Source organism: Homo sapiens, chromosome 15 (assembly GCF_000001405.40).
Source record: "Homo sapiens chromosome 15, GRCh38.p14 Primary Assembly".
Lineage (NCBI taxonomy): Eukaryota > Metazoa > Chordata > Mammalia > Primates > Hominidae > Homo > Homo sapiens.
The window spans coordinates 98,657,080-98,681,581 of record NC_000015.10 but is presented as its reverse complement, the minus strand read 5'-3'; the positions used below and the strand labels follow the sequence as shown (position 1 = coordinate 98,681,581).

The 24,502-nt window shown below is 44.0% G+C and overlaps 1 protein-coding gene across 7 annotated transcripts in view, besides 7 other annotated features; it reads right to left on the bottom strand.

The window, feature by feature from the left end:
• IGF1R (insulin like growth factor 1 receptor) overlaps nt 1–24,502 on the bottom strand; it is a 315,992-nt gene that overhangs the window by 282,949 nt on the left and 8,541 nt on the right. The window contains exon 1 of one of the 7 annotated variants that reach the window (XM_017022137.2): nt 15,701–16,622. The exons of 5 other annotated variants lie outside the window; for them this stretch is intronic. In XM_017022137.2, coding sequence (XP_016877626.1) covers nt 15,701–15,869 — 169 coding nt within the window. In that variant the 5' untranslated portion in view covers nt 15,870–16,622. Of the gene's footprint in view, nt 1–15,700; nt 16,623–24,502 lie in introns of those variants that run through there. One more of the 7 variants, XM_047432442.1, reaches the window with a different exon arrangement.
• Nucleotides 10,121–10,846: an enhancer, noted in NCBI's record as "NANOG-H3K27ac hESC enhancer chr15:99213965-99214690 (GRCh37/hg19 assembly coordinates)". NCBI's record gives its function as "activates a minimal SCP1, AML or CMV promoter by ChIP-STARR-seq in naive H9 embryonic stem cells {active_cell/tissue: H9 hESC(naive)}" and the evidence as "EXISTENCE:reporter gene assay evidence [ECO:0000049][PMID:30033119]".
• Nucleotides 11,575–12,300: an enhancer, noted in NCBI's record as "H3K27ac-H3K4me1 hESC enhancer chr15:99212511-99213236 (GRCh37/hg19 assembly coordinates)". NCBI's record gives its function as "activates a minimal SCP1, AML or CMV promoter by ChIP-STARR-seq in naive H9 embryonic stem cells {active_cell/tissue: H9 hESC(naive)}" and the evidence as "EXISTENCE:reporter gene assay evidence [ECO:0000049][PMID:30033119]".
• Nucleotides 11,575–13,150: a biological region, named in NCBI's record as "CDK7 strongly-dependent group 2 enhancer GRCh37_chr15:99211661-99212860".
• Nucleotides 11,951–13,150: an enhancer, noted in NCBI's record as "CDK7 strongly-dependent group 2 enhancer chr15:99211661-99212860 (GRCh37/hg19 assembly coordinates)". NCBI's record gives its function as "activates an origin of replication core promoter dependent on BRD2, BRD4, P300/CBP, MED14 and CDK7 cofactors, with strong dependence on CDK7, by STARR-seq in HCT116 cells {active_cell/tissue: HCT116}" and the evidence as "EXISTENCE:reporter gene assay evidence [ECO:0000049][PMID:35650434]".
• Nucleotides 18,128–18,422: a silencer, noted in NCBI's record as "tiled region #1749; HepG2 Repressive non-DNase unmatched - State 2:TssF". NCBI's record gives its function as "represses a minimal TATA promoter and a strong SV40 promoter by Sharpr-MPRA in HepG2 cells {active_cell/tissue: HepG2}" and the evidence as "EXISTENCE:reporter gene assay evidence [ECO:0000049][PMID:27701403]".
• Nucleotides 19,499–20,309: an enhancer, noted in NCBI's record as "H3K27ac-H3K4me1 hESC enhancer chr15:99204502-99205312 (GRCh37/hg19 assembly coordinates)". NCBI's record gives its function as "activates a minimal SCP1, AML or CMV promoter by ChIP-STARR-seq in naive H9 embryonic stem cells {active_cell/tissue: H9 hESC(naive)}" and the evidence as "EXISTENCE:reporter gene assay evidence [ECO:0000049][PMID:30033119]".
• Nucleotides 22,128–22,422: a silencer, noted in NCBI's record as "tiled region #7544; HepG2 Repressive non-DNase unmatched - State 8:EnhW, and K562 Repressive DNase unmatched - State 12:CtcfO". NCBI's record gives its function as "represses a minimal TATA promoter and a strong SV40 promoter by Sharpr-MPRA in HepG2 and K562 cells {active_cell/tissue: HepG2 | K562}" and the evidence as "EXISTENCE:reporter gene assay evidence [ECO:0000049][PMID:27701403]".

The following is a 24,502-nucleotide window of genomic DNA, read 5'->3' as shown; positions in this document are numbered from 1 at the left end:
CCCTGCAGCCAGGAAGCATCAGATGCCATCCAAGCTGTCTTCTATGGCTCACATATCCAGCAAATTACAGCACTCCCCAAACTTAGAGGTTTATCCTTGAACTACTCCTTGGAATGAACCCAAATAGGTAAGCATTTTCTCCTCCATAAGGCTACCCATTACCTGCACCCATTGCACGAGACTGCAATCAATGAAAACCTCCTGATAACTATCAGAATAGCTGGTGGTGAATGCAAAGACACAAGCAGAGAAGCAAGAACTGAACAACGAGGTGTATGTCATGCGCCAGGTAGACATGCGAAACAAGGTGCAGGCAGAAAGTAGTGCAGCCGCCCTCAAGATGTCACAATCGATCAGCAAAGCAGACTTGTAAAGACACAGAATCCTAACATAACCAAAGTGCTACAGAGGCTTAAAGAAGCAGAGTTACGTATCACTTAATGACAGGGATGCATTCTAAGAAATGCACAGTTAGGTGATTTCATCATTGTGTGATCAGAGTATACTTACACCTCAATGGTATAGCCTACTACACACCTAGGCTATACAGTATAGCCTATTACTCCTAGGCTACCAACCTGCAAACCTGTAGTGCATTACTGCACTGAATACTGCAGGCAGTTGTAACACCATGGTAAGTATGTGTGTATTTAAACATACCTAAACATAGAAAAGGTACAATAAAAATATAGTAAGAAGGATAAAAAAAAAAAAAAAGTACATATGGCCAGGCTCACACCTATAATCTCAGCACTTCAGAGGCCAAGCACTTGCTTGACACCAAGAGTTCAAGACCAGCCTAGGCAACATAGTGAGATTCCATTTCTACAAAAAATTAAAAAACAAAAATTAGCCAAGTGTGGTGGCATGAGCCTGTAGTTCTAGCTACTTGGGGAGGGTGACACAACAGAATCAGTTGAGCCCAGGAGTTCAAGGCTGCAATGAGCTATAATCACGCCACTGCACTCCAGCTTGGGTGACAGAGCTAGACCCTGTCTCTTAAAAACGAAACAAAAGGCCAGGCGCGGTGGCTCACGCCTGTAATCCCAGCACTTTGGGAGGCCGAGGTGGGTGGATCACGAGGTCAGGAGATTGAGACCATCCTGGCTAACACGGTGCAACGCTGTCTCCACTAAAAATACAAAAAATTAGCCAGGCGTGGTGGCAGGCGCCTGTAGTCCCAGCTACTCGGGAGGCTGAGGCAGGAGAATGGCGTGAACTTGGGAGGTGGAGGTTGCAGTGAGCCGAGACTGCACCACTGCACTCCAGCCTGGGCGACAGAGCGAGACTCTGTCTCAAAAAAAAAAAAAAGTATACATACGTATATGGGAGTACCACCACGAATAAAGCTTGCAGGACTGGAAGTTGCTCCCTCGGGTGAGTCAGTGAGTGGTGAGTGAATGTGAAGGCTGAGGACATTACTGTACACTACTGTAGACTTTATAAATACTGTATACCTAGGCCTCACTAAATTTATTTAAAAATTTCTTTCTTCAATAATAAATTAAACTTAGCTTAAGCACAACTTTTTTTACTTTTACAAACTTTATTTTTCTTAAATTTTGGTTCTTGTATATATTTTCTTTATATTCTTATTCTATAAGCTTTTTTCTATTTTTAACTTTTTTTTTTAACTTTTTAAACTTTTTTGTTAAAAGCTAAGACACAAACACACACGTTAGCCTAGACCTACAAAGGGTCCGGATCATCCATGTCACTGTCTTCCACCTCCATATCCTGTCCCACTGGAAGTCTACAGGGGCAGTAACCCAGGCGGAGCCATCAGCTCCTATGATCACAATGCCTTCTTCTGGATACCTCCTGAAGGACCTGCCTGAGGCTATTTTACAATTAATTTTGTGTTTAATAAGTATAAGGAGTACACTCTAACAATTAAAAGTACAGCATAGTAAATACATACACCAGTAACATGGTTGTTTATTATCAAGTATTAGGTACCGCACACAATTGTATGCGCTGCACTTTCATCTGACTGGAAGCACAGTGGGCTTACACCAGCATCAACACAAACACGTGAGCAGTGCCTTGCACTACAACAGACACGATATCCCTAGGGGACAGCACTGTTTTCAGCCCCATTATAATCTCATGGGACTACTGTTACAGACGAGGTCCACCATTGACCAAAACATGTGGAGCACGGCAATTAATTCTGGATTTGGATGGGGACACAAAATAAGCACAGCTCTGGCAGATCTAATCAAGATTAAGAGAGAAAAGCAACTAAAACATCTGAGAAAACAGATACAGAGGGCATAACACCACACAGAAAATACTACATACAACTGAGCTATAATTTTTAATTGACTTGCTGGAAATTACTAAATTACTAAAATTGATTTAAAAAGAACCAGAAGGCCAGCATGGTGGCTCATGCCTGTAATCCCAACACTTTGGGAGGCCAAGGGAGGAGGGTCGCTTGATCCCAGGAGTTCAAAACCAGCATGGGAACATAGCGAGACTCTGTCTCTAAAAAACATTTAAAAATTAGCCAGGTATGGGTCCCAGCTACTCCAGAGGCTGAGGTGGGAGGCTTGCTGGAGCCCAGTGGGCTGGGGCTACAGTGAGCCATGACCACACCACTGTACACCATCTGGGACAAGAGCGAGATCCTGTTTCAAAAAAAAAAAAAAAAAAAAGAGCATCAGAGGAAAGAACCAGAACCCTGGAACAGACCAACACCCATGGAAGACCTTTTTTAAAGCTGTCACAAAACAAAAACTAACCATCTTTTTACGCCAGGCATGGTGGCTCACACCTGTTAATCCCACCACCTTGGGAGGCGAAGGCAGGTGGACCACTTGAGCCCAGTAATGCTAGACCAGCCTGCGCAACGTGGCAAAACCCCATCTCTACAAAAACTACAAAAAAAATAAAAAATTAGCCGGGTGTGGCGGCAAAACACCTGTGGTCCCGGCTACCAGGGAGGCTGAGGTGGGAGGACTGCTTGAGCCTGGGAGGTCAAGGCTGAAGTGGGCCAAGATTATGCCACTGCACTGAAGACTAAAAACAACACCAACAACAAAAAGAAACACAACAAAAACTATTCTTTTTTTTTTTTTTTAAGTGTCAGCCTCCAGGCATTTAACAAGTGAGTTGTTCCAAACCTTCAAAGGACAGTTTATTGCCACACTATAAAAACTGTTACAGAGAAGGTAAAAAGGAAAAGTCATTAATTCATTTTACAAAACTAGTCTAGGCCTGACAGCAAAATCTGGAAAAGAACTCATCTAAAGAGAACTGTAAAGCTATCTCATTTAAAATAAGAGATTAAAAAATCTGAATATGTTAGCAAACCAAATTTAATTAGGAATTTAAACAGCCACCCACCGCAACCAAAAATAGTTTAACACGGGAATTTGAGGAGGGATTACTACTAGGTAATCTATTCCTACCTCAATTAATAGGTGTAACAACCACTTCTGAATCCAAATGAATGCCAAAATGACATCTGATGACATTCAACACCCATCCTTAATAAATCACCCAAGAAAACAAGACAGGCAATTCTTCAACATGATGAAAACCTCTTAAACCAAAAGATGCCTTACACATTGAGAAACAGAGGCATTATCATTAATATAGACAAAAAAGGACAAATATGCCTGTAATCAACATGTAACAATTCTGGATGTGCAGGCTAATGCAGCAAGACCCTATGACCAACCATGCTTGGTTGGCCCAACCCCCATGCCCAACCCACTAGCCATACCCACATTCATCTCCCACCTTCTAGCCAGCTGCATGCAACTCAGTTCTGGCCAAGGAGAAGCAGGGCCTACTGGCTGAGCAGCGCTTGCTGACCTGTCATTCTGCCTTTTTTGCCTTTTGTCTTCATTCCTTCTCAACTTCTTCCTGCCTGAAACAGACATAATTCCTGGAGGTCATCTTGTGTTCACGAGGACAAAAGCCACAGGCTAAGGATGAACAAACAGAAGCCAGGAGCCCAGTCCTCACACCCTCTTTGAGCACCTCACAGCAGCCACAGACTCCTTCCCTCCAGACTGCCTGAACTTGAGAAAAGTCAGCCCCTGTCGGCCTACTCCCTTATTAGGCAGGCTTTCAGTTATTTTCAGCCATTTATATTCCTAAGTGACACACAACTGATGGTAAGTAAAGACGTATTATGTACCAGAAAAATGGAGACCAAATTATCCTTATTTGTCATCAATGATTCTCGGCACAAAAAAATTAGGAAGAGTCAACTGAAAGACTATTATAACGAATAAGAGCAATCAACAAATTGGGTAGGTACAAGATAAGTACAGAAAATACCAGAGCTTTCCTCACACACAACCAATAATCACCTAAAAGAAACAAGGAAGGTCAGGCATGGTGGCTCACGCCTGCAATGCCAGCACTTTGGGAGGTGAAGGTGGGAGGATCACTTGAGGTCATGAGTTTGAGACCAGCCTGGGCAACACAGCAAGATCCTGCCCCTAAAAGAAAAAGAAAAAACTTAGCCAGGCATGGTGGCGCATACCAGTAGTCCCAGCTACTCAGGAGGCTGAGGTGGAGGATTACTTGAGCCTAGGAGCTGAAGGCTGCAGTGAGTCATGACCGCACCACTGCACTCCAGCCTGGGTAACGGAGCGAGACCCTGTCTCAGGAATGAAAAAAAAATTTTTTTTAATTGAAAAAAAATTTAAAAATATAAAATAAACAATGGGGAATAAAGATTCCTTCTACATTAGCAACAAAAAGCATTCATTAACCAGAAATAACCCAAAAGGAAAAGTATACAACCTCTATGACCTTCTGTGATTTCTTCATAGATAGATAATAGTTGAGTAAATGGAGAAACACGAAATGTCCTTGAATGAGTAATTCAAATATCTGGAAATGTTTTCTCCCAAACTGATTTATTAACAATCAAAACCTAATGAATTTGTGTTTTCTTTTTTGGAAGAGTAGCGGAGAAGAATTGCAAAAACAAAACAACATACACACACACAAAGTTCACCTGAAATAATGGTGCTTCAAATTTTTTTTTTTTTAACCTGAGTGGAGATTCTTCCTAGCAGATGTTAACATGTATAATGAAGCTACAGTGTTTAAGACAAAATGATTTTACCACAAACAAAAGGCAAATCAGTGGGAGAAGACAGCTTTAAAATAGAGTCTCGGCCAGGAGCGGTGGCTCACGCCTGTAATCCTAGCACTTTGGGAGGTCGAGGCAGGCGGATCGCAAGGTCAGGATTTCAAGACCAGCCTGGCCAACATAGTGAAACCCCATTTCTACTAAAAATACAAAAATTAGCCGGGCATGGTGGCACATGCCTGTAGTCCCAGCTACTCGAGAGGTTGAGGCAGAATTGCTTGAACCCGGGAGGTGGAGGTTGCAGGGAGCCGAGATGGCGCCACTGCACTCCAGCTTGGGCAACAGAGTGAGACTTTGTCTACAAAAAACACTAATAAAATAGAGTCTCTAGGCTGGGCGCAGTGGCTCACGTCTGTAATCCCAACACTTTGGGAAGGTGAGGTGGGCGGATCACCTGAGGCCGGGAGTTCAACACCAGCCAGGCCAACATGTGGAAACCCCATCTCTACTAAAAATACAATAAAAAAATAGCCAGGCGTGGTGGCGCACGCCTGTAATCCCAGCTACTTAAGAGGCTGAGGCAGTAGAATCACTTGGACTGGGGAGGGGGAGGCTGCTTTGAACAGAGATCACACCTCTGCACTCCAGCCTGAGCAACAGAGCGAGACTCTCTCAAAAAAAAAAAAAAAAAAAGAAAGAAAGAAAGAAAAAAAAGAAAAGATATTGTTACATAATCCAGTGAAGAAAAAAAACAGCACAATGTGGGGAAACTAAATCGTCAACAGGAGGAGGTATCTTACTTCACTTAACTACAAATACATTCTAGAAGTATTAAAGAATTAAAAGAAAAAGATAAACAAGGAATCAATATGCATGATTAACCGATTTTGACTTGAGTATAAACTTACTAGGCAAGGGAAGATCATAATGAAGAGACTGCTATTCTATATTAAATGATACAACTTTTTAAATGCTAAAATTGCAAAGCTCAATTTAGTGTTCAATTCTGGTGGAGTATGGATGACAGACACTGCTTCTGGAAGCTGAAACTAAGAATTTTCTGCAAAATATTTTGGCAATATTTATCTAGGATCATGCACACTTACACAATTCTTATTCCTTACTTTCCACTTTTAGGAATCTAGCCCAAAGAATTAATCAGAGTAGTGTATCAACAACAATACACAATAATTTTATCACATCATTTTTTAATGATCAAAATTATAAAATGGGCCAGGCACAGTGGCTCACACCTGTAATCCCAGCACTCTGGGAGACCAAGGTGGGCAGATCATTTGAGGTCAGGAGTTTGAGACCAGCCTGGCCAACATGGTGAAACCCCGTTTCTACTAAAAATACAAAAATTTGCCAGGCATGGTGGCATGCACTTGTAGTCCCAAATACTCGGGAGGCTGAGGCAGAATAATTGCTTTAACCTGGGAGGCAGAGGTTGAAGTGAGCTGAGATTGCACCACTGCAGTCCACTCCAGCCTGGGCAACAGAGCAAGACTTTGTCTCAAAAAAAAAAAAAAAAAAAAAAAATTGTAAAATACCTAAATTTAGCATTTATAGAATAATTTTAATTTTAATAATTTCATTAAAGACCTCATTCCAGGTGATAAAGATATAATGTTATGGGCAGAAATTCACAATATGTGTGTACATAGTATACTACTAATTTCATTTTTTTAAATATATAGATACACATATAAGTCTAGGGGGAAAATCTCAGGAAAACACAACAAAATATTAACAATGGTTACCTTGAGATTAAGGATAATTTTTATTTTCCTTTTATAGAGAGACAGAAAACTTATTTTCTAATTTTCTTCTCATAATCATCTATTACTATTATAATTTGAAAAAAGCAATACACATAATACTTGTAGTGTCTGGCGGCAGGCAAATGTGTCCCTAATCAAAGGTTCGCTGTTCGTCATAGCTGCACGTTATTTTTAAACAGGTCAAATATGTGAAGTCATTCTAGTGCTATGTGTACACGTGATTGCTGAATCAATGATAAGAGCCCTCTGAACGCGCTCTGTAGACCTCATATAAAGGAGGCAATGGACTCTTCTGGAAAAGAAGTAACTGGAAGGACGAGGAAGCCTAGGGTGATGATATTGACGGTGATCTTGGAACTCTAAGGACCTCCATTTCTTTAATATACATTTATAGAACATTCACCATGTGCAGGTAGCAGGCATTCAAGAGTGAACACAGTTCCTGCTTTCATGGAGCTAACAGTTTCTCCTCCAAAATCTTATGTAAAGCCATCATGACCACTGTAGTTTTTGCCTTTTGGGTATGTCTAACCGTGATGTGATAACAAATCCTGTTTCAATGCAACAATCAGATTTCCTGTATAGTAGTATTTTAAAATATGTCTGAAACCCACTCTCTCAAAAAGCTGAGACTTTATCGCTATGACTTTTAAAGACACAGATTCTCTAGAACCTATAGATAGCATTAACATTTCAACTATTCAGAGGCCACCACTCATTCACTCTGCCAATGAAACTTGTCGAAGTCCTTAAGACAGCTTCTCTAGACAAGAGAAACATGGCTGTACATTTTTTCCAAATCTTTTTCAGACAAACTACAACCACAGTGGAAAGTTCACTGGATGAGGAGAAAAAGGAACAGGGAAAAAGATGCTGGCCTCAGACATGCAAAATACAAAATACAGCGCCTGGCACAGACCTGGTGCTTATCAGGTATTTGCACAATAACTATTTTGCAGAATGAACAGCACGCTTAAAAAAGCAGATGCCCATCTGCTCATTCAGAGCACCCAGCTCCCAAGAGCACTACACCATCAGCAGAAATTGGAAACATTCCTTCACCACCAAAGGTGAGGCCAGCAGTGTCTGTGACTGCAAAACATGTACCCAGCATGGGGGGATCCAGTGGTCACCGCCCCATTCAAGGCAAGCACAGGTGTTTTCAAAAATGATCTGTAAGGCTACTAAGAGTTAAAGGTGTTTCTGCCTTAAAAGCAAATGAAACAACTAAAAAGTCACTGCCCAGGGATTTGAGTCTTTTCTTTCCACTTCTATTATTGAGAGAGCCTCCAGAAGACTACAGCTAAGAGGGCTGTTATTTTCCTACTAGAAGAGCAGCTGAGGAAAGGTAAAACAGAGCGAGAATGATCATCTATTTACTGTACAACCGCTAGTCCGCCACTAAGAGAAGTATGCAAACAAGAGCCTCCAGAAGATGGCTATTCCACCAGTACATCAATTAACCAAATAGTGTAATGATACACACAATGTCACTGACATGCCAGTACATCAATCAGCTACAGAGTATAAAACCATGTGTGGTCCAAAAGGACCCTACAATAATCCCCAAGAATGCTACGTGGCACAGTAGCTCATGTCTATCAGCCCAACTACTTGGGAGGTTGAGGCAAGAGGATCACTTGAGCCCAGGAGTTCAAGGTTACAGTGAGCCATGATCACACCACTGCACTCCAGCCAGGATAATAAAGACCTCATTTTTTTAAAAAAAAGTAAAATAAAATAAAAAGATGCTCCCATGTGACAGTCTTACAATGCAGGCTAGTGTCTCCAAAGAAGACTTACTGAGCTACACAGAGGAAGCTGGACATTAGGAATCCCACCCAGAAACATTTGTTAACCCTTACGAAATCACTGATTAAGTTTCACCAGATTCACTGCTTCAACTTTCCAGGTACCCGTATTTAGGGGGGAAAAATCCATTCACCCCAAATGAAATGATTACTGGACCAAAATTAGTTAACCCAATCAGAACTACTTGAGTGGCCAAGCCATTATCATCCTATAAAGCTGGAAAGGTTTTTGTATTTCTCAAAATCTTATGACTCTCATCACAAATGAGACCGGAAGAAATACAACGTTTAGCATGGAAGCATTTGAACTGTAGGCACTTTTGCTAACCTACACTTTTTTTTTTTTTTTTTTTTTGAGATGGAGTCTTGCTCTGTCACTCAGGCTGGAGTGCAATGGCGCCATCTTGTCTCGCTGCAACCTCTGCCTCCCAGGTTCAAGTGATTCTCCCACCTCAGCCTCCCGAGTAGCTGGGACTACAGGCGCACACCACCACACGCGGCTAATTTTTGTATTGTATTTTTCGTAGAGACGGGGTTTCGCCGTGCTCGCCAGGCTGGTCTCAAACTCCCGACCACAGGTGATCCGCCCGCCTCGGCCTCCCAAAGTGCTGGGATTACAGGCGTGAGCCATGGCACCCAGCCTTATCTACATTTTATTTCATGAAAAGAGTTGTGGGAAAATGTGAAGGCTGCCAGTCCATCATTTTCTTGGTTACTTTGGATCCTTCTCCTTTGTTGCAAGAATCATAAATATTCCCAATTCTTTTACAGGCAAAAATGAAACGTGTGCCCAAATATGTCCTTTAAAAATAAACATTAAACATTATGAGGGAAACAACTGGCATTGTGGAAAATGTCTGTGCACCCTGGCTAAGCAACTCACTATTGCTTGGATTATATTAATATACACACCATAAAGCTAAGGAAGAACTTAAATTTGAGCCTCTGCATTTCTGTGCTGAGTAAGCTGTAGTTCTTTCGACTTATCGCCTTCATACTTGCCTGTCCAAACAAAAAGATCTCAAGAATTCCACTGAAATAGTCCAAACAAGAGCCTAAACTTACAAAGCTGTTTTTCAGAGCTCAATAGTACAACAACAGGAAGTAGAACTTCTGGGATGGGGATTTTGCTATTTATTTTTTCTTTCAATGGCCACTTTTAAGCAAAAGAGAAAAAAGTCTACAGGCATTACAAATCCTGGAAGCTATGAATCAGGAAGTGGGAAATGGCTGATCCTGAAATGGCCAGCCTGAAAATCCTGGCTCTTTTATGTAGTCAAGTCTCTGAAGCCAGGAATTTCAGAAATCTTAGGCATTTTGCATTATTTTCTGAATCTTAAAAGAGCTGAGACTTGAGAGAAAAGAGAAGGGCCAGGATAAATGAACCAATAAGGAAGCCCCCAGTCTCCAGCTCCATGCCCCTACCACCACACAAATCTTGCCCCTATAATTACAAGCTCAGTTGGGACATGCTCCTTACAAATGACGTTTGTTTACAATGCTGCTAAGGAGAGGGGGTGATAGCCCATGGTTTCTGCAGACAGAGCCTGCCCCAGGCTTCAGCTTTCTCATTCTTTCCCAATGTTGAATCTGGAATGGACTCGGGACCCTAAATATTTCACAACTCCAAACACCCTGCAGTTGATTAAAAACAATGGTCACTTTTGTTTTCAGGAAAGACTATACCTGATTTTTGCTAAGTCTAAGTAAAATGCAAAGACCCATGCAATGAACCTGCATGAATGCTTTCAGACATGCAGATTTGGAGGGGGACACTGCTCTCTTTTGAGCAAATGGAGATCCAGTAACAGAGCGGGGCTCACTCTGCAATGGCTGCATTTGCATCAACGTGAGACACCAAACAAATGCCCGCACACAGGAGTCTACTATGTGGATCGAGGGAAAAGAGGGCACCTTTATCCTTCCAAATATGACAACTCAATAGAAAACTTCTCATTCCAAAGTCCTAAGGGTCCCTACAACAGGAAGCTACTGGAGCTTGTGAAATATTTCCAGTTATTTTCTACAGAAATTAAACATATCAATTCTACCGGCAGGTCATGTGAGATGACAGGTTTAAAAATGTATGTTGATTGGGGGAGAAAAGCAAAGAAAAAAAATAGAAGAAAATAAAGTCATTTCCTGTGTCAGTTGTAATTTGGGAGGCTTTTTTCCAGTGCCCTTCTAAGTAAATCTGCCATAATCAAATGTAGTCAAATATAACTGCAATGTGCAAAAGCACAGTGATGACCTGAGAGGAAGGTGCCACTAAGAACCCCTGGGACCAGTCTTCTATCTCTTCCATCAGACATCCACTACTACCTCCCCAAAAAGGCTCAGGGTTATTTCATAAACACCAGTAGCCTCCCATGTATTTAACTTAGCACAAATAAGAGAACCAATATGTAAGGGATTTTTTTTGCTCTTAAGAACCAACCATTCCTCTTACCCCAGCCTTTACAGACCTGGAAAACCATCCCTGATTTGCCCCCAGCCTCATCCCCCACTACAACTTAAACAAACCTTCCTCTCCAGCCTTGCTTCCAGCCCCAAAATACATTTTTAAAGTTCTGATGCCAAGACCACCCCATCAAGTCTAGTATAATCCTTCTGATCATCTAAGTACCCTCCTCCAGGAGACCTCCAAGATCCCTCTGGGCAAAATGATCTCTTCCTCCAATTCCAGGGCTCTTTCCCAGTGTGCTCACTCCATCCTCACTCATAAAAGCATCTGGTTCCATTCCACAGCTGGGCACACCTTATCTTCTCAAGAGACAATGTAAGCTCTTTTTAAAACAGGGGCTGCATTTTACACACCTCACATACCTCCTGCAGGTCCCCGAACATCCAAACACTCCAAATTTGTCTCTGTCTCCAAATCCTACAAAACCAAATTCTCTCTACCCAGCTCAGCTCAGCATCCCTGGGGCCCCGATCTACCTCATCTGCCTCCTCTGCTCTAGAGTAAAAGCAACACCAGTCACCCCCACTCTGCCGCCCACTGTAGCCGAATCCAAGTGGCACTCTCAGCCCATGCTCTTATCAGTGCACTGGGGGCAGGCCTACCATCTACCAAGCACCAGAAATGCCCCTCCGAGCTTTGTGCAGCCCCCTTGCCAGGCAGACAGCCTCCAGGGCCAGGTTCGGCACGGGAAGCTAGAACACGGGGCTGACTGCACAGCCTGGGGCAGACACACCTCAGCTTCCACACCCACCTGACAAGGCTGCCCAGAGGATGGAGGGAAGTCAGTGTTTCACCCACTGCCCTAATGGGAAGACAGTGTTTCTCACCCACTGCTCAAGCCTGGAAGCAAAAGGTCCCAATGTTCCTACTCGATGACCCGCCCTGTCATGCCCTGTCCAGATATCTAACCCTCACCTTTCTCTGTCCATCAAGCAGTAAGAATTCATAGCAGCCAGCACATATGACCCTGAGGGCAACGTTCTAACAAAGCCAAAGAAAAGGTGGCACACTGGCCTTCAATTCAAAGCCCAGGGTGGCAAGAAAAGGGTCACTAGTTCCCTGAAAATAACTGGCATGCAAAATTCAAACAGGTAATTGGGGTGGAGTTCATGGAAAAGGGAAGAGAAAACCTCACATGGGTTTGTATACCCTTCATTTAAGCACACTGTCTTCAGGCAGCAGAGGTTTCAAGGTGCATGCTAAACACCCTTGCGCAGGTTTCAGAGAGCAGATAAAAGGGGCTAACCAGGCTCTCAGGAAGCCCAATCCGCACACGCACGGAGCCGAGCCAGTGGAAACCATAAGCCTGTCTCATCTGTCTCTAAACTGCTCACAGGATGAACAGGAAGGCTTGATCGATACTGATTTTACAGTCATAGGAGTGACTCATCACGAAATTCTACCCAGCTTAAAGCTCAGCTGTGAACAGAAACAAAACAACATAATGGCAGGGTCAGATTTAAAATAGTAAGTATGACTGGTAAACAGTTAATGCTCATAAACAATTAACAATCACCTTCCCAGCCTCCTGGATTTGCTGGGAGAGGAAAAAGTACTACTGAGGGCTCTGAAGCGGGCTGCAGCAGTAAGTCTGTCTTCTGTGGCAGCCCCTTCCAACTCACTGATGCTGGTGTCAGCTTTACAAAACAGACCCTGGAGGGTCACGAGGAGCTGCTTTTAATAGAATTCCACACATCTGATGGGTACGTGCTCACTGAGGAGGGGAGAGAGGAGGAATGTACTTACATGGAACAGAGTTTTCAGAGAGTGAAATTTAAGCTCTCCTGGAGTATAACTTCCTCTATGTAGCTCCTGCAGAGTTTAAAATAAGCAACTTATCTGTCCTAAAATGAGAGAAATGGGGTCATATAAAATTTCTCAATAATTGAGTTCCTCTCAAACTGCATTCACTTTAAGGAAAGCACTGGGGTGCTCAGAAGGTGCACTACACATTTCAGGCATTTGGTTACAGAGGCGAATGTGCTCAGCGCCATCCTGAAGACATGTACTTTCAAGTACTGGATTCCATGTAAATTTTAATGATCTGTAACCAACTCTCAGACCTGGCCAAGAACTTCCATAGAGAATCCTGGTCTGGAGATCCCTTCACTATGGCACACTGCTCCACTGTTCTGAACTGCATGACTGTGTCCCCTCCAATTCATATACTGAAGCCCCAACCCCCAGATACCTTCAGTGGTATCTGAAGGTGGGGCCTTAGGGAGGTAATCAGGTTTAGATGAGGTCCTGAGGGTAGAGCCCCCATAATGGCAACAATGCCCTTACATAAAGAGGAAGAGACCAGAGCCCCTTGCTCTCTCCACCCTGTGAGGACACATGACATTTGTCATCTGCAAGCCAAGAAATGGACCCTTAACAGAAACCAAATTTGGTCGGCACCTTGATCTCAGACTTCCAGCCTCCAGAACTGTGAGAAACATAAGTCTGTGGTTTTAGCCCTCAGTCTATAGTAACCTGTCACAGCAGTCTGAGCTAAGACATCCATACAGCCCCGTAAGAGAACCAACCCAGGGACGAGCAACACCTCTCATCATCTGACACCACCTCCTGCCTGACGACCAGGCAAAACAAGCACATACACAAACAAGCAAAAGGGGAGGATGAGAGTGGTCATTCGGGTTTGCTTTGGAGGTCCAGAGAAAATGCAAGTCCAACTTCCAGGCACAGACCAGTTGCCCGCAGCAGGCTTCCTCCCATTGGTCTCAGACCAAGGTGAGCCACTCCCCCGGGCGGGACAGAGAAAGCTCCTCTGGAAGCCAGACAAGCTCGGCCACCTCGAAGTCTTCTTTGGAATCCAGCAGGTCCAGGCCTGAGCCCTGGCGCCTGGTTAAACCAAAGGATGACAACCAAGCAGAAAAAAATAGCCCCAGAGAGTATCTGCTGGAGAGGCAGACAGGCGGACCTGGCCTTCGACACACAGCATGCGTGCCATGGTCTCTAGCAGCGCGTCCCTCCAAGCTTCCTGGCCTGTAAGGCGAAGCCTCTAGCCCTTTTCTACTTTTAGGATGCTCAGATTCTTGCCTGCAGAGGTCAATCCCTTTCTTTCAAGGGCTCCCCCCTCTGTAATGAGGCAGTCCATTTACAATAAAAAAAAAATTGAGCTGTCAAAACAAATGAAAAACTTCCAGTATAATCATAATCAGTGAGGGAATCAAACATCTAAACAAATCTCTCTTCTGGAAAAATAAGAAAATGAAAAAGCAATTACACGTCACATGGCTGATTAGCAATAAATTTCATTTGTGACTACGGTGGCATGAGTTTGACTCCTGACTTGCTTTCCTTGAAAGAAAAAAATTATCTGCAATACTGTCTCTTGATATAGAAAACAGACCCATTCCATCTGACTCAGCTCAAACCTGCGTTTTTTTTCAAGGCCTCTCCTGACCTCACAGTTCCCCCGCAGTGATCCCGTGGTACCTAGGACCGCCATGGACAAGGACTGGTCTCCTTGAATTTGTCTCCCCAACTATTCCACACATATACTCGCATAAACAATTGAGAAATAAGCTTTTTAAAATTGTGGTAAAATATACACAACAAAGAATTTAACATTTTAACCCTTGTTAAGTGTATAGTTCACTGACACTGATTCACAATGTTGCTCAACCACCGTAACCATCCACCTCTAGAACTTTTACATGTTCCCAAACTGAAACTCTGTACCCATTAAACACCAATTCCTCATTGCTCCCTCCCCCCAGCCTCTATTCACCGCCCCTCACCATTCTACTTTCCGTCTCTATGAATGTGACTACTCTACATAGCTCACGTAAGGGTAACAATTATGCACTGTTTGTCCTTTCATGACTGGCTTCTTTCACTTCGCAGAGTGTCTTCAAGGTTCACAGACATTGTAGCACATCATAGAATTTCCTTCCTTTTTAAGGCTCAATGATATTCCATTGTATGGATAGACCACATTTTGTTTATCCACCCGTCTATGGATGGACCCTTGAGTTGCTTTCACTTTTTGGCTATTTTGAATTATTTGCTGCCATGAACATGGGTGTACAAATATCTGTTCGAGCCCCTGCTTTCACTTCTTTTTGGGCATATACCCCAAAGTGGAATTGCTGGATCATATGGCAATTCTATGATGAATTTATTGAGGAAGCACCATATCATCTTCCTGTTAAAAAAAAAAAAGGCTGTGCCATTTTAACAGTCTCACCAGTAAGGCACAAGGGTTCCAACATCTCCACATCCTGGCCTATGCTTGCTATCATCTGGTGTTTTTGGTAATAGCCATACTAATGAGTATGAAGTACCAATTGTGGGTCTGACTTACATTTCACCAATGACTAGTGACTTTCAACATCTTTTCATGTGCCTATTTGCCTCAAGTAGTAAGTTTTAAATCAAAAGAATTAACCCCTCCTCCTAAGAGACCTCTCATCACAGAAAGCAAACAGTAGTATCCTTACCTACTAGCATTGTTAAATTGGTTAGTCTGGGCTCAAAACACTTTTGTTTTCCTTGCAAATACCACCATAGGCAATATTCGCTTAGCAAGACCATTCAAGTCCATCTACCAAGTTGCCTAAACAGGACTAACCTTGAATTCTGGTCTCAGGAAGACCTTGTGCGATCCAGGGAGCAGAGCAAGAGAGCAGCTCCTTCTCGCACCATCCTGCATCAGGCAACACACTGCAGCTGGCTTCCCACCTGACTGAAGCCTTCTCCTGTTCTGGCAGCCATGGGCCGCTCCAGCTGGGGATGCTCATCCTTGCAAGCAGCCATCCACGCACAAAGGGCACAGGTTCTCAGGGTTCTCCACATTCAATTTAAAATACCCTAATTTGTGTTGCAGATACTTAATCTAAGTGTTTTTCAGATCCTGTGCCCTAAATTTTGGCTGGAAACATAGTCCCACTCACATCCCTCATGCTCGTGACCAGGCTCTTCCCCAGGCCACATGACCCCCAATTACCTCCCCCTCCTTGAAGAAGGAAGAGACTGAAGGGCGAAGGGACATCCACAGTTCACATTGATAACGCAAATGATCCATCACCATGGCCTCAAAAGGGCCTTGGAATCCAAATGACCCACTTACTGGAGGAGGATGCTTCAAACGGAGGCAGATGCAGAGTCAGGAGGGAGACAGGGACAGAAAAGGAGGAAGCTGTGCTGCTATCCCCAGTGGAGCGCTTGTCAAACTCTCTTTACAAGAAATGAAGCTGGGTTCCTGCCGGGCGCGGTGGCTCACGCCTTTAATCCCAGCACTTTGGGAGGCCGAGGTGGGCGGATCACAAGGTCAGGAGATCAAGACCATCCTGGCTAACACGGTGAAACCCCATCTCTACTAAAAATACAAAAATTAGTGTGGCAGCGGACGCCTGTAGTCCCAGCTGCTGGGGAGGCTGAGGCAGGAGAATGGCGTGAACCCGGGAGGTGGAGCTTGCAGTGAGCCAAGATTGCGCCACCACACTCCAGCCTGGACGACAGAGCGAGATTCCATCCAAAAAAAAAAAAAAAAATGAAGCTGGTTCCTAATTCTGCAGTCAAAAAAAAACGGCAAATGTAGCTAGGAGCAAAACATCAGAATCAATACACACCCAAAGGGTATTTTTTTTTTTAAAGGAAGTAAATAACTTCTAATGCGTATTTCCTCTATCCTTAGCAACAATAGTATCAGCTAACTCCTAGTGTTTATAAACCCTAGGTTCTAAGAAATGTGTATGTATTCACTCATGAAGTATTGGTAACGATCCTCCAAGATGGGTGACACTTTTTTTTTTTTTTTTTTGACATGGAGTCTCACTCTCGCCCAGGCTGGAGTGCAGTGGCGCGATCTTGGCTCACTGCAACCTCCAACCTCCAACCTCCAACCTCCAACCTCCACCTCCCAGGTTCAAGTGATTCTCCTGCCTCAGCCTCCTGAGTAGCTGGGATTACAGGTGCATGCCACTGTGCCTGGCTAATTTTTATATTTTTAGTAGAGACAGGGTTTCACCATGTTAGCCAGGCTGGTCTCGAACTCCTGATTTCAGGTGATCCGCTCACCTCGGCCTCCCAAAGTGCTGGGATTACAGGCATGAGCCACCGCACTCGGCCTGATGGGTGGCATTATCTTCCATTTTACAGATGAGGAAAGGAGAGCAGAGAGGGTCAATAACGTGCCCCGGTACAATGCATCAGTAGACTTCTAATTCTCCAACCCTCATCTCAGAGGGGAATGGTGTCATGAAACAAGACTGGGGGGAAAAGGGAGAAGGCCTGCTTTCTAGTCGAGAAAAGCGGAGACCGTCTGAAACTCTACTTGCTCCAACAGGTGAACGTGATTGAAAATTCAGAATTCACTCTCCTAATAGCAGGAAAGTGTTACAAAAGCCCACAGGCCAAATGATACCACCCTCCCAGGAAGTCTCTTGCAGAACTGTGTTTTTTAATGTTATTTGTCAAGTGAAAACAGTTACAGTGGCAGAACAGGCAGCACCCAGAGAGTGGCACTAATCGTGGGCTAAGGATGGGCAATTGCTTCTCATCAAGAACCACAATGTGTCCAGTCAATTTACAAACATAAATCAACACAAGTTCAAAAGCACCAGTAGCAAAGTCCAGGCCTGGATGTGAAGCTGGCACCCCTCTTTAAACAAACTGTTCCTCTTCACTTGCATGGTAAGGACTGGAAAGAGCCCTGCCGCGTTGGCCAGCTCTTCAGGGTAGCGGGGGCCACCGCCCTCTCCCAGCCTCGGGAAGCCCAAGGCCACTGCATCAGCCTGGCCCAGCCCAGAACCAGCCTCGGGCCCAGCCGGCCCAACTCAGAAAAAGGCAGGGGTCAGTCTCCAGCCTGGACTCCTCTAAAAATCAGAAAGCAGTGCCCCAGCAAACGAACAACAACAGCGCTCACCTGAAACAGTTTCACCTTCATTTTTAGAGGAGAGGAACACAATAGGAGGGCGTATTACTCCACGGGTTTTAACCCTAGCCCTTGATGCTACCAGGTATCCATGATGCCCCTAATAAAGGTGACAGTTCCTCCACTTTTCTAACATCCAGCTATTCTTTAAAAAAGTTGAACACTGCAGTTTCCGGAGAACTTTGCTATGTGAATTGCCTCACTGCAGGTGTGCTCTCCCCTAGCTCTCTCCATTCCATGCCTTAAAAGTGCCAGGTGTCTCCTCGGGAGCTGCCCTGTGCTACCGCCCCCAGTCCTGCAGCCAACCTGTTTTGCGGGTCCTGCCTCTCCATCAACTGGGACTGCTCTCTCGACAAACCACCCCAGCCCACAGCTCCTCTGGCAACCCAGCCCCTCACACCGAGGACCCATCTCACCAGTCACCTCCCTCAGCTGGGCCAACCTGTCCAGTCCATTCCTGCTTCCTGGTCTCAGGTCTAGAGACAAGACTTCCCTCCCTGAGCCTGTCCTCACTGCCTCCCTCATCTATACCATCACTGGCTCACACCGGGGTGTCTATCTGTCCCCCAATCCTGACTCCATCGAGAGACCAGAGCAGCCTCCCCAGAACACCCTTCTCAGCGGGTCCACTGCAATGGTGCAAAGGTTTCAGCGCTCCTCATTCTCTAGCCAGCAGTCAATTCCTTCCCACCACACAAACACCGGATTCTGACACCCTCTCCACTCCATCAGTGCACACTGCCACCCACACCACACATGGTCCCTTCCTCTCCTGGGGAGCTGCCTCCTTGGATCTTGAGAGTCAAATATTTAGGGCACACTAAAGTCAGACATCCTCCTTAAAGCTTCTCAAGCCATTCTGCAGTTCCGTGACCCCACTGCCTGCAGCCCACATACTTCTCTCCGGTCAGCATCCCATAACTTAGCACTAAACTCATAGCATCTGTTACTCTCCACCAGTAGTTGAGTTTTCCCAACTAGACAACAAGCTCGAGTAAAAAAAAAAAATCATATTCTTTCATATGCTTTCCATGGAGCAGAGACCACTGGAGGCCCTCAAATAATCTAGATATCAGAAACAGGGTTCCATACTCTGTCACCACTCACCTTCCACTCCCACTCCCCTTCCACAGATAGGGACATGACCTTGAACCAGTCAGCCTGGTTAACCTAAAAACCCATTCTCTTCAGGCACAGAGAAGCAAGGTGGTTACTTAGTGGTTTCAACAACTGACCTGAGACTCAGACGTCCGGGTTCAAACCTTTCACTGTAGATGTGCAAAAAAAGACCCTCCTTGGCCAGCCACAGTGGCTCACATCTGTAATCCCAGCACTATGGGAGGCCGAGGTCGGTGGATTGCTTGAGGCCAGGAGTTTGAGACCAGCCTGACCAACATGCCTAAACCCCGTCTCTACTAGAAAAAAAAAAAATTAGCCAGGCGTGGTGGCACACGCCTGTAATCCCAGCTTCTTGGGAAGCTGATCCACAAGAATTGTTTGAACCTGGGAGGAAGAGGTTGCAGTAAGGCAGAGGTTGCAGTGAGCGGAGATTGCACCACTGCACTCCAGCCTGGGCAACAGAGCAAGACTGTCTCAAAAAAAAAAAAAAAAAAAAAAAAAAGGGCCCTATTCAACTGGCAGCAATTCCCCAGTGTTGTGGGGAAGGAGGACTGGAGGCCCCAGAGAGAGCCCACCAGGGCCACCCACCATGAGGAGGAGAAAAAAAGAGAAAAGCATCCATTTATTGGATGCTTTCTATTTGCCAGGTTTGCTGGGCAGCTTGGATACATTATCTATTGCTAATTCTCATTGGCATCCCTGCTAGAGCAGTGTTATTCCAATCACAGGCAGAGACACTGAGGCCTGGAGCTCCCTTTCCAACATGCCTCCATGCGTGGGAGAGAGGGAGACAGTGAATTGTTTGAGGGGACAAGGCTTCAAAGGAAGCCCTGCACATATGCAAACCGCACGGAGAAGAGCAGAGCAAAGACAGGCCAGGCTGTCCAGCTAAGTTCACATCCAGCCGGTTCAGCATTCACATGAGAATTTCACAAGATGCTTTTTTACAAGCTACTCTTGAATATTAACATTCCAGCTTCAAATGATTATGTTTACATTTTCTGCAAGAAATATCCCACCCCACTCCTCGGAAGAGGAGACTTTAAGGATAATTTCTAAGGTGTTCATTAAGTTCAGGAGTCCCCTTGACACCAACCTAGACAAGTAAGCTTTCTTCTGTCCAGAGGTCGGGAGCTGGCCTCACCGTCGCCCTACCAGGACACTGTCAAAGGCCTTCACCAGCAACCAAAACCGGCAGGGTTGGAGAGGGTGCTTCAATGATAGAGAGACCTGTAAGACCTTGCTACTGTCCCTCCCAGGAGTGAGGCAAAAGCTTACTGGCCTCACCAAGAAAACAATGCAAAAAATAGAAGCCAACTTCCATACGTGGTGATTCTGCTTGTTCCAACCACATCTCCCTCAAATCTCCATCTCTCTCTCTGCCTAGTATCTTGAGATCTGAAGGCTGGAAGGGCCTGTGAAATGACCTAGGTCCACCCTGTAACTCAAGGTCAGCAGGTGTGCAAGTACCCTACCCACCCAACTTTCTGAGATGCCACCCTGGCCCTCTGCACCAGGCCACTCCGGAGACCACCAGGCAGCCGAGTCCAGCCTGCAGATGCTTCCTCCTCAGGAACCCAGCTCCAAGAGGGTTTAAAAGCACACTACAGACATAAATCGGTGCCAATGAATTATTCATTACATCTTATCTATAGGGAACTTATGGAACAAAGTCTCCATCCACAGGGATGAGGTGATCTTGACACAAGGCCAGACTCACAAATTACCCTTCCAGGAGTTCTAATTTTTTTTATTCACCTCAATGTGCAAAAAGCCTAATCAAACAATGATTTTAAAGATAATTTTATTGCTTTCAAGTTCCATGCAGCAGTAACTGGTGTGATAAAATGTTTTGGCTAGCAGAGGTGCAATGATCAGATGAAAATAAATTTGTTGTACAAAGAAGTGCTTCAAAGTGAATGGCGAGTATCCCTTTAAGAAGTCTTCCGTTTCTTCAGCTCCTCCTATGCACCAGGCACTGGGCCACCTCCTGGGAATTCAAAGATAACCAAGGTACCATTCCCCTCCCCAATGGTGGGGGAAAGCAATATGGGGGAGATGCCCAAATAGGAGGTATAGCAAGAGACCACAGGAGCTCAAGTCAGTGCAATCATTCTGCATGCAGAATCAAGGCCAGAGAGAGGGTGAAATTACAGCTAACTCTTAAAGGAGCTTGCCAGAGGGCAAGCTGGTAGTATTGTTTGCTATTCCAAGCAGAGGGGCTTCCACCTGCCAAGACAAAGAGACACGAATGAGTACAGCCTGAACTGTTCAAAATGTCTGGGAGGAAGGGAGGCTGAAGTTCTCTCTCAGACAGCCAAACAAAGATTTCCGAATTAAAAATAATAAAAGGCAATCATGGGGAAACAGGTTTAAGGCTTTTGACACGTAAAACTGAATAACCAGCTATATATTTTGTGTAATCTCAGCAAGAAAGATTCTGAAAATATCAATAAAACATGAAACAAAATACATAAAATTAGCTAGCGAAATATAGACGGTGTGGGACCTAACACAACACTGGATGTATTTATTCTTATTCTCTGTGAGTATTTCTGGCTGGCGAGCATCTTAACCACATAGAATAGCCAAAGGGGAGAGAGAAGAGAATGAAAGTGTTACTACCTGTTTAAATAGAGCAATGGAAGGTAAATCTTGCTGTATTTTTCCAAATGAAATCAGTAGTGTTTTTTTAATCTCTAATCTCAAATATTTTGGAGCTTTAAATTTATTAAAGTCCTGTAAAATTATCTTAAAACTCTAACTGTAAAAGACACACTAGGTGTTAACAGCTCTGCCATGGAGTTGCAGTGCGCCTGTCTGCATCACTTAGGAAGACCCTAATTCTCTCAGGACAGCTCGCACTGACACAGTAGAGTAACCTTAATCCAAAACTGTAGCCCAGTGATTTCTACAGAAGTCTGTAGTATCCACATTTTCTTGCAATCAGTCCCCAGGAAGCAAGCCAGAGAGTGGGTTGGGATCGCTATCTTCCTCCTTGGGGCACTATTAATTCAGTCACCTAATATGCTGAATTTCCCTTCTGGCCACTAGATGGAGCCTATGCATAGGCGAGATGGGCAAAGTGCACACTGGACACCTCTCAGGTGTGAGCAGAAATTGACAAATGACAATATTAAGGGAGAAAGTGTAATAAACAGATCTCTGAAATGGAAGGCAAACTGCAGGGGGATGACCATCGTTTACTGAAAAAAAAAATCACAACTGTTTAATAAGCAACATGCCATCTTGTTAATAAACACCTTAGCAAAATAAAGTTTTATTATACATTTATTGAGCACCTATGTGCCAGGTTCTATAACATATTTAAATGGCAAGGACAATCAAACATCAAGTAAGCCTTATATTTCTATCCAAAGAACATCTCTGTTCGAGGATGTCACAACCCTAAGAACAGTAGCAGTTGAAGTCCAAGGGCTTAATACCAGGTGCCAGGTTCTATTCTAGGCACTTGACATGTGTACGAATTTGATTTCTATGAATGTTTAAAGTAGATTCTATTAAAATTATAATTTCACAGATGAGGAAACTGAGGCACAAGAAGATTAAATTATTTGCCTGAGAGCTTAGCTACTGAAGAGCTGAGATTCAAACCAGCCACTTTGGCTCCATGGTCCTAATAAAATTACAAGCAAGGAACAAGACAAATCACTGTCAACCAGCAAAACCGTGGGTTATGAACTCAAAAGGAGTAATGGGAAAGTAGATCTATACAAGTTAGGGAAATCCCAAAAACCTTCAAGAAGGAAGAGGAATTTGACTTGGAAATGTAAAGATGGCATCTCTGACCTATTCAAACCACAGAAAAGGCATATGGGGGAAAGGAATCACCTGACTTAGCGTGCTGCCTTTTGAAAGTTATGATCTTGTCCCTATTTTACAGATCCACCTGGAACTTGGAAATTATTTCAATTTAAAAAACCTATTCTATTTCCTCACAATTTTTCTGACTTTGGTTTTCTAAACCTGTTAGAAAAGGTTTTCATTCTGTTGTTTAGTGAGAAAAGGAGAAATGTCTCCCCCAAATATTTTTAAGTCTCCGCATTTCTATCAAGACTCAGAAAAGTTAATAACTTTAGGACCAAAGAACTAATTGGCAGCTAAGGAGAAACTAAAGCTATGGTGACCTTCCTGTGTTCTTAAGCGGCACTTTCTGCTATTCAGTATTGAGGATGGAAGGAGAAGTAGCAGAGTAGTGAAGAGGAAAAACATTCTCAGCTATGGAAACAGCAGAAGCAAAAACTTGAAGACAGGCATAACACAGCTTCCTTTCCATCAAGCTAATGCACAGATGCTGGGGAGTACCAGGAACTAACAGTGGATCCCTACAGCACAGGATTACTAAGGACCTGTTTCATTACTTGATTCTAAGGACCCTGGACTTGATCCTAGGACCACAAGAGGCACGTTCTGAGTATTTGGAGCTGGCAAGTCCATCAGACTAAGGGAATGGTACAGGAACTGGTTCAGAGGCCAACTCAGCATGTAGTCAGAGTCAATGCAGGTCTGCACTGGACCAGGCTGGATCCCGGAATAGGGGTCAATCTGAGCGATTTCAAGTGACTCAGTGAGATCGAAAGGCAACATTCAATTAATGAGTCTCCCCAGAAAAGGACAGGCTGCAGAACTGAAACTGAACAAATTCCATCCTGAGCCAATCTCTGTTGCTGAAAATTTTACTGAGGTGCATGTGAGAAAGAAAATCCCAATTGTATCACCTGACGAAGAAAGGCTACCATAACAAAAGTTCTGTACCTACGACTACACGATATCATGTTGTGACCTAACATATGCAGTGAACTCATTATCCACAGAAATCAGACAACAGAACTAAGGGAAGCCTCACAGCAGATCTCCCTCTGCTGCTACTGGTCTCTGTGTTCATTTGTTTTCGTGGCAATCTGTGCTTCTCTTTAAAGTCCTGAGTCTGTAAGCTTGTGTATTATCCCACTAAAATGAGACTCAGGGAAATTAGGTAAAGAGAATAAATACAGGACAACACAGATAAATGTGGACACAACTGAGAGGGATTTTACAATCTAGACAGAATTAATAGCTAATGACTTAGAAAACACTTTGTAAGCTGATGCAGTCAATTGGATCATGGGCTCCTACCTGGAATTTCTCTCCATGCTTCCTACTTTTTCCAGGAAGTTATCAAAGGTCACTAAGACGCTTTGAATTTGGGGAAAACTCCTACAAATAAATTCATCTCTCCCTAATTACCATTAGACTTCTGTTCTTTAAAGTTCTATTGACTAAACTTTGGCTGACTTAAATTGGTGATGTCTCATTTACGTAATCAAGCACATATTCCCAATAACCAACTTTACAGAGACTAACCACGACTATATTTTT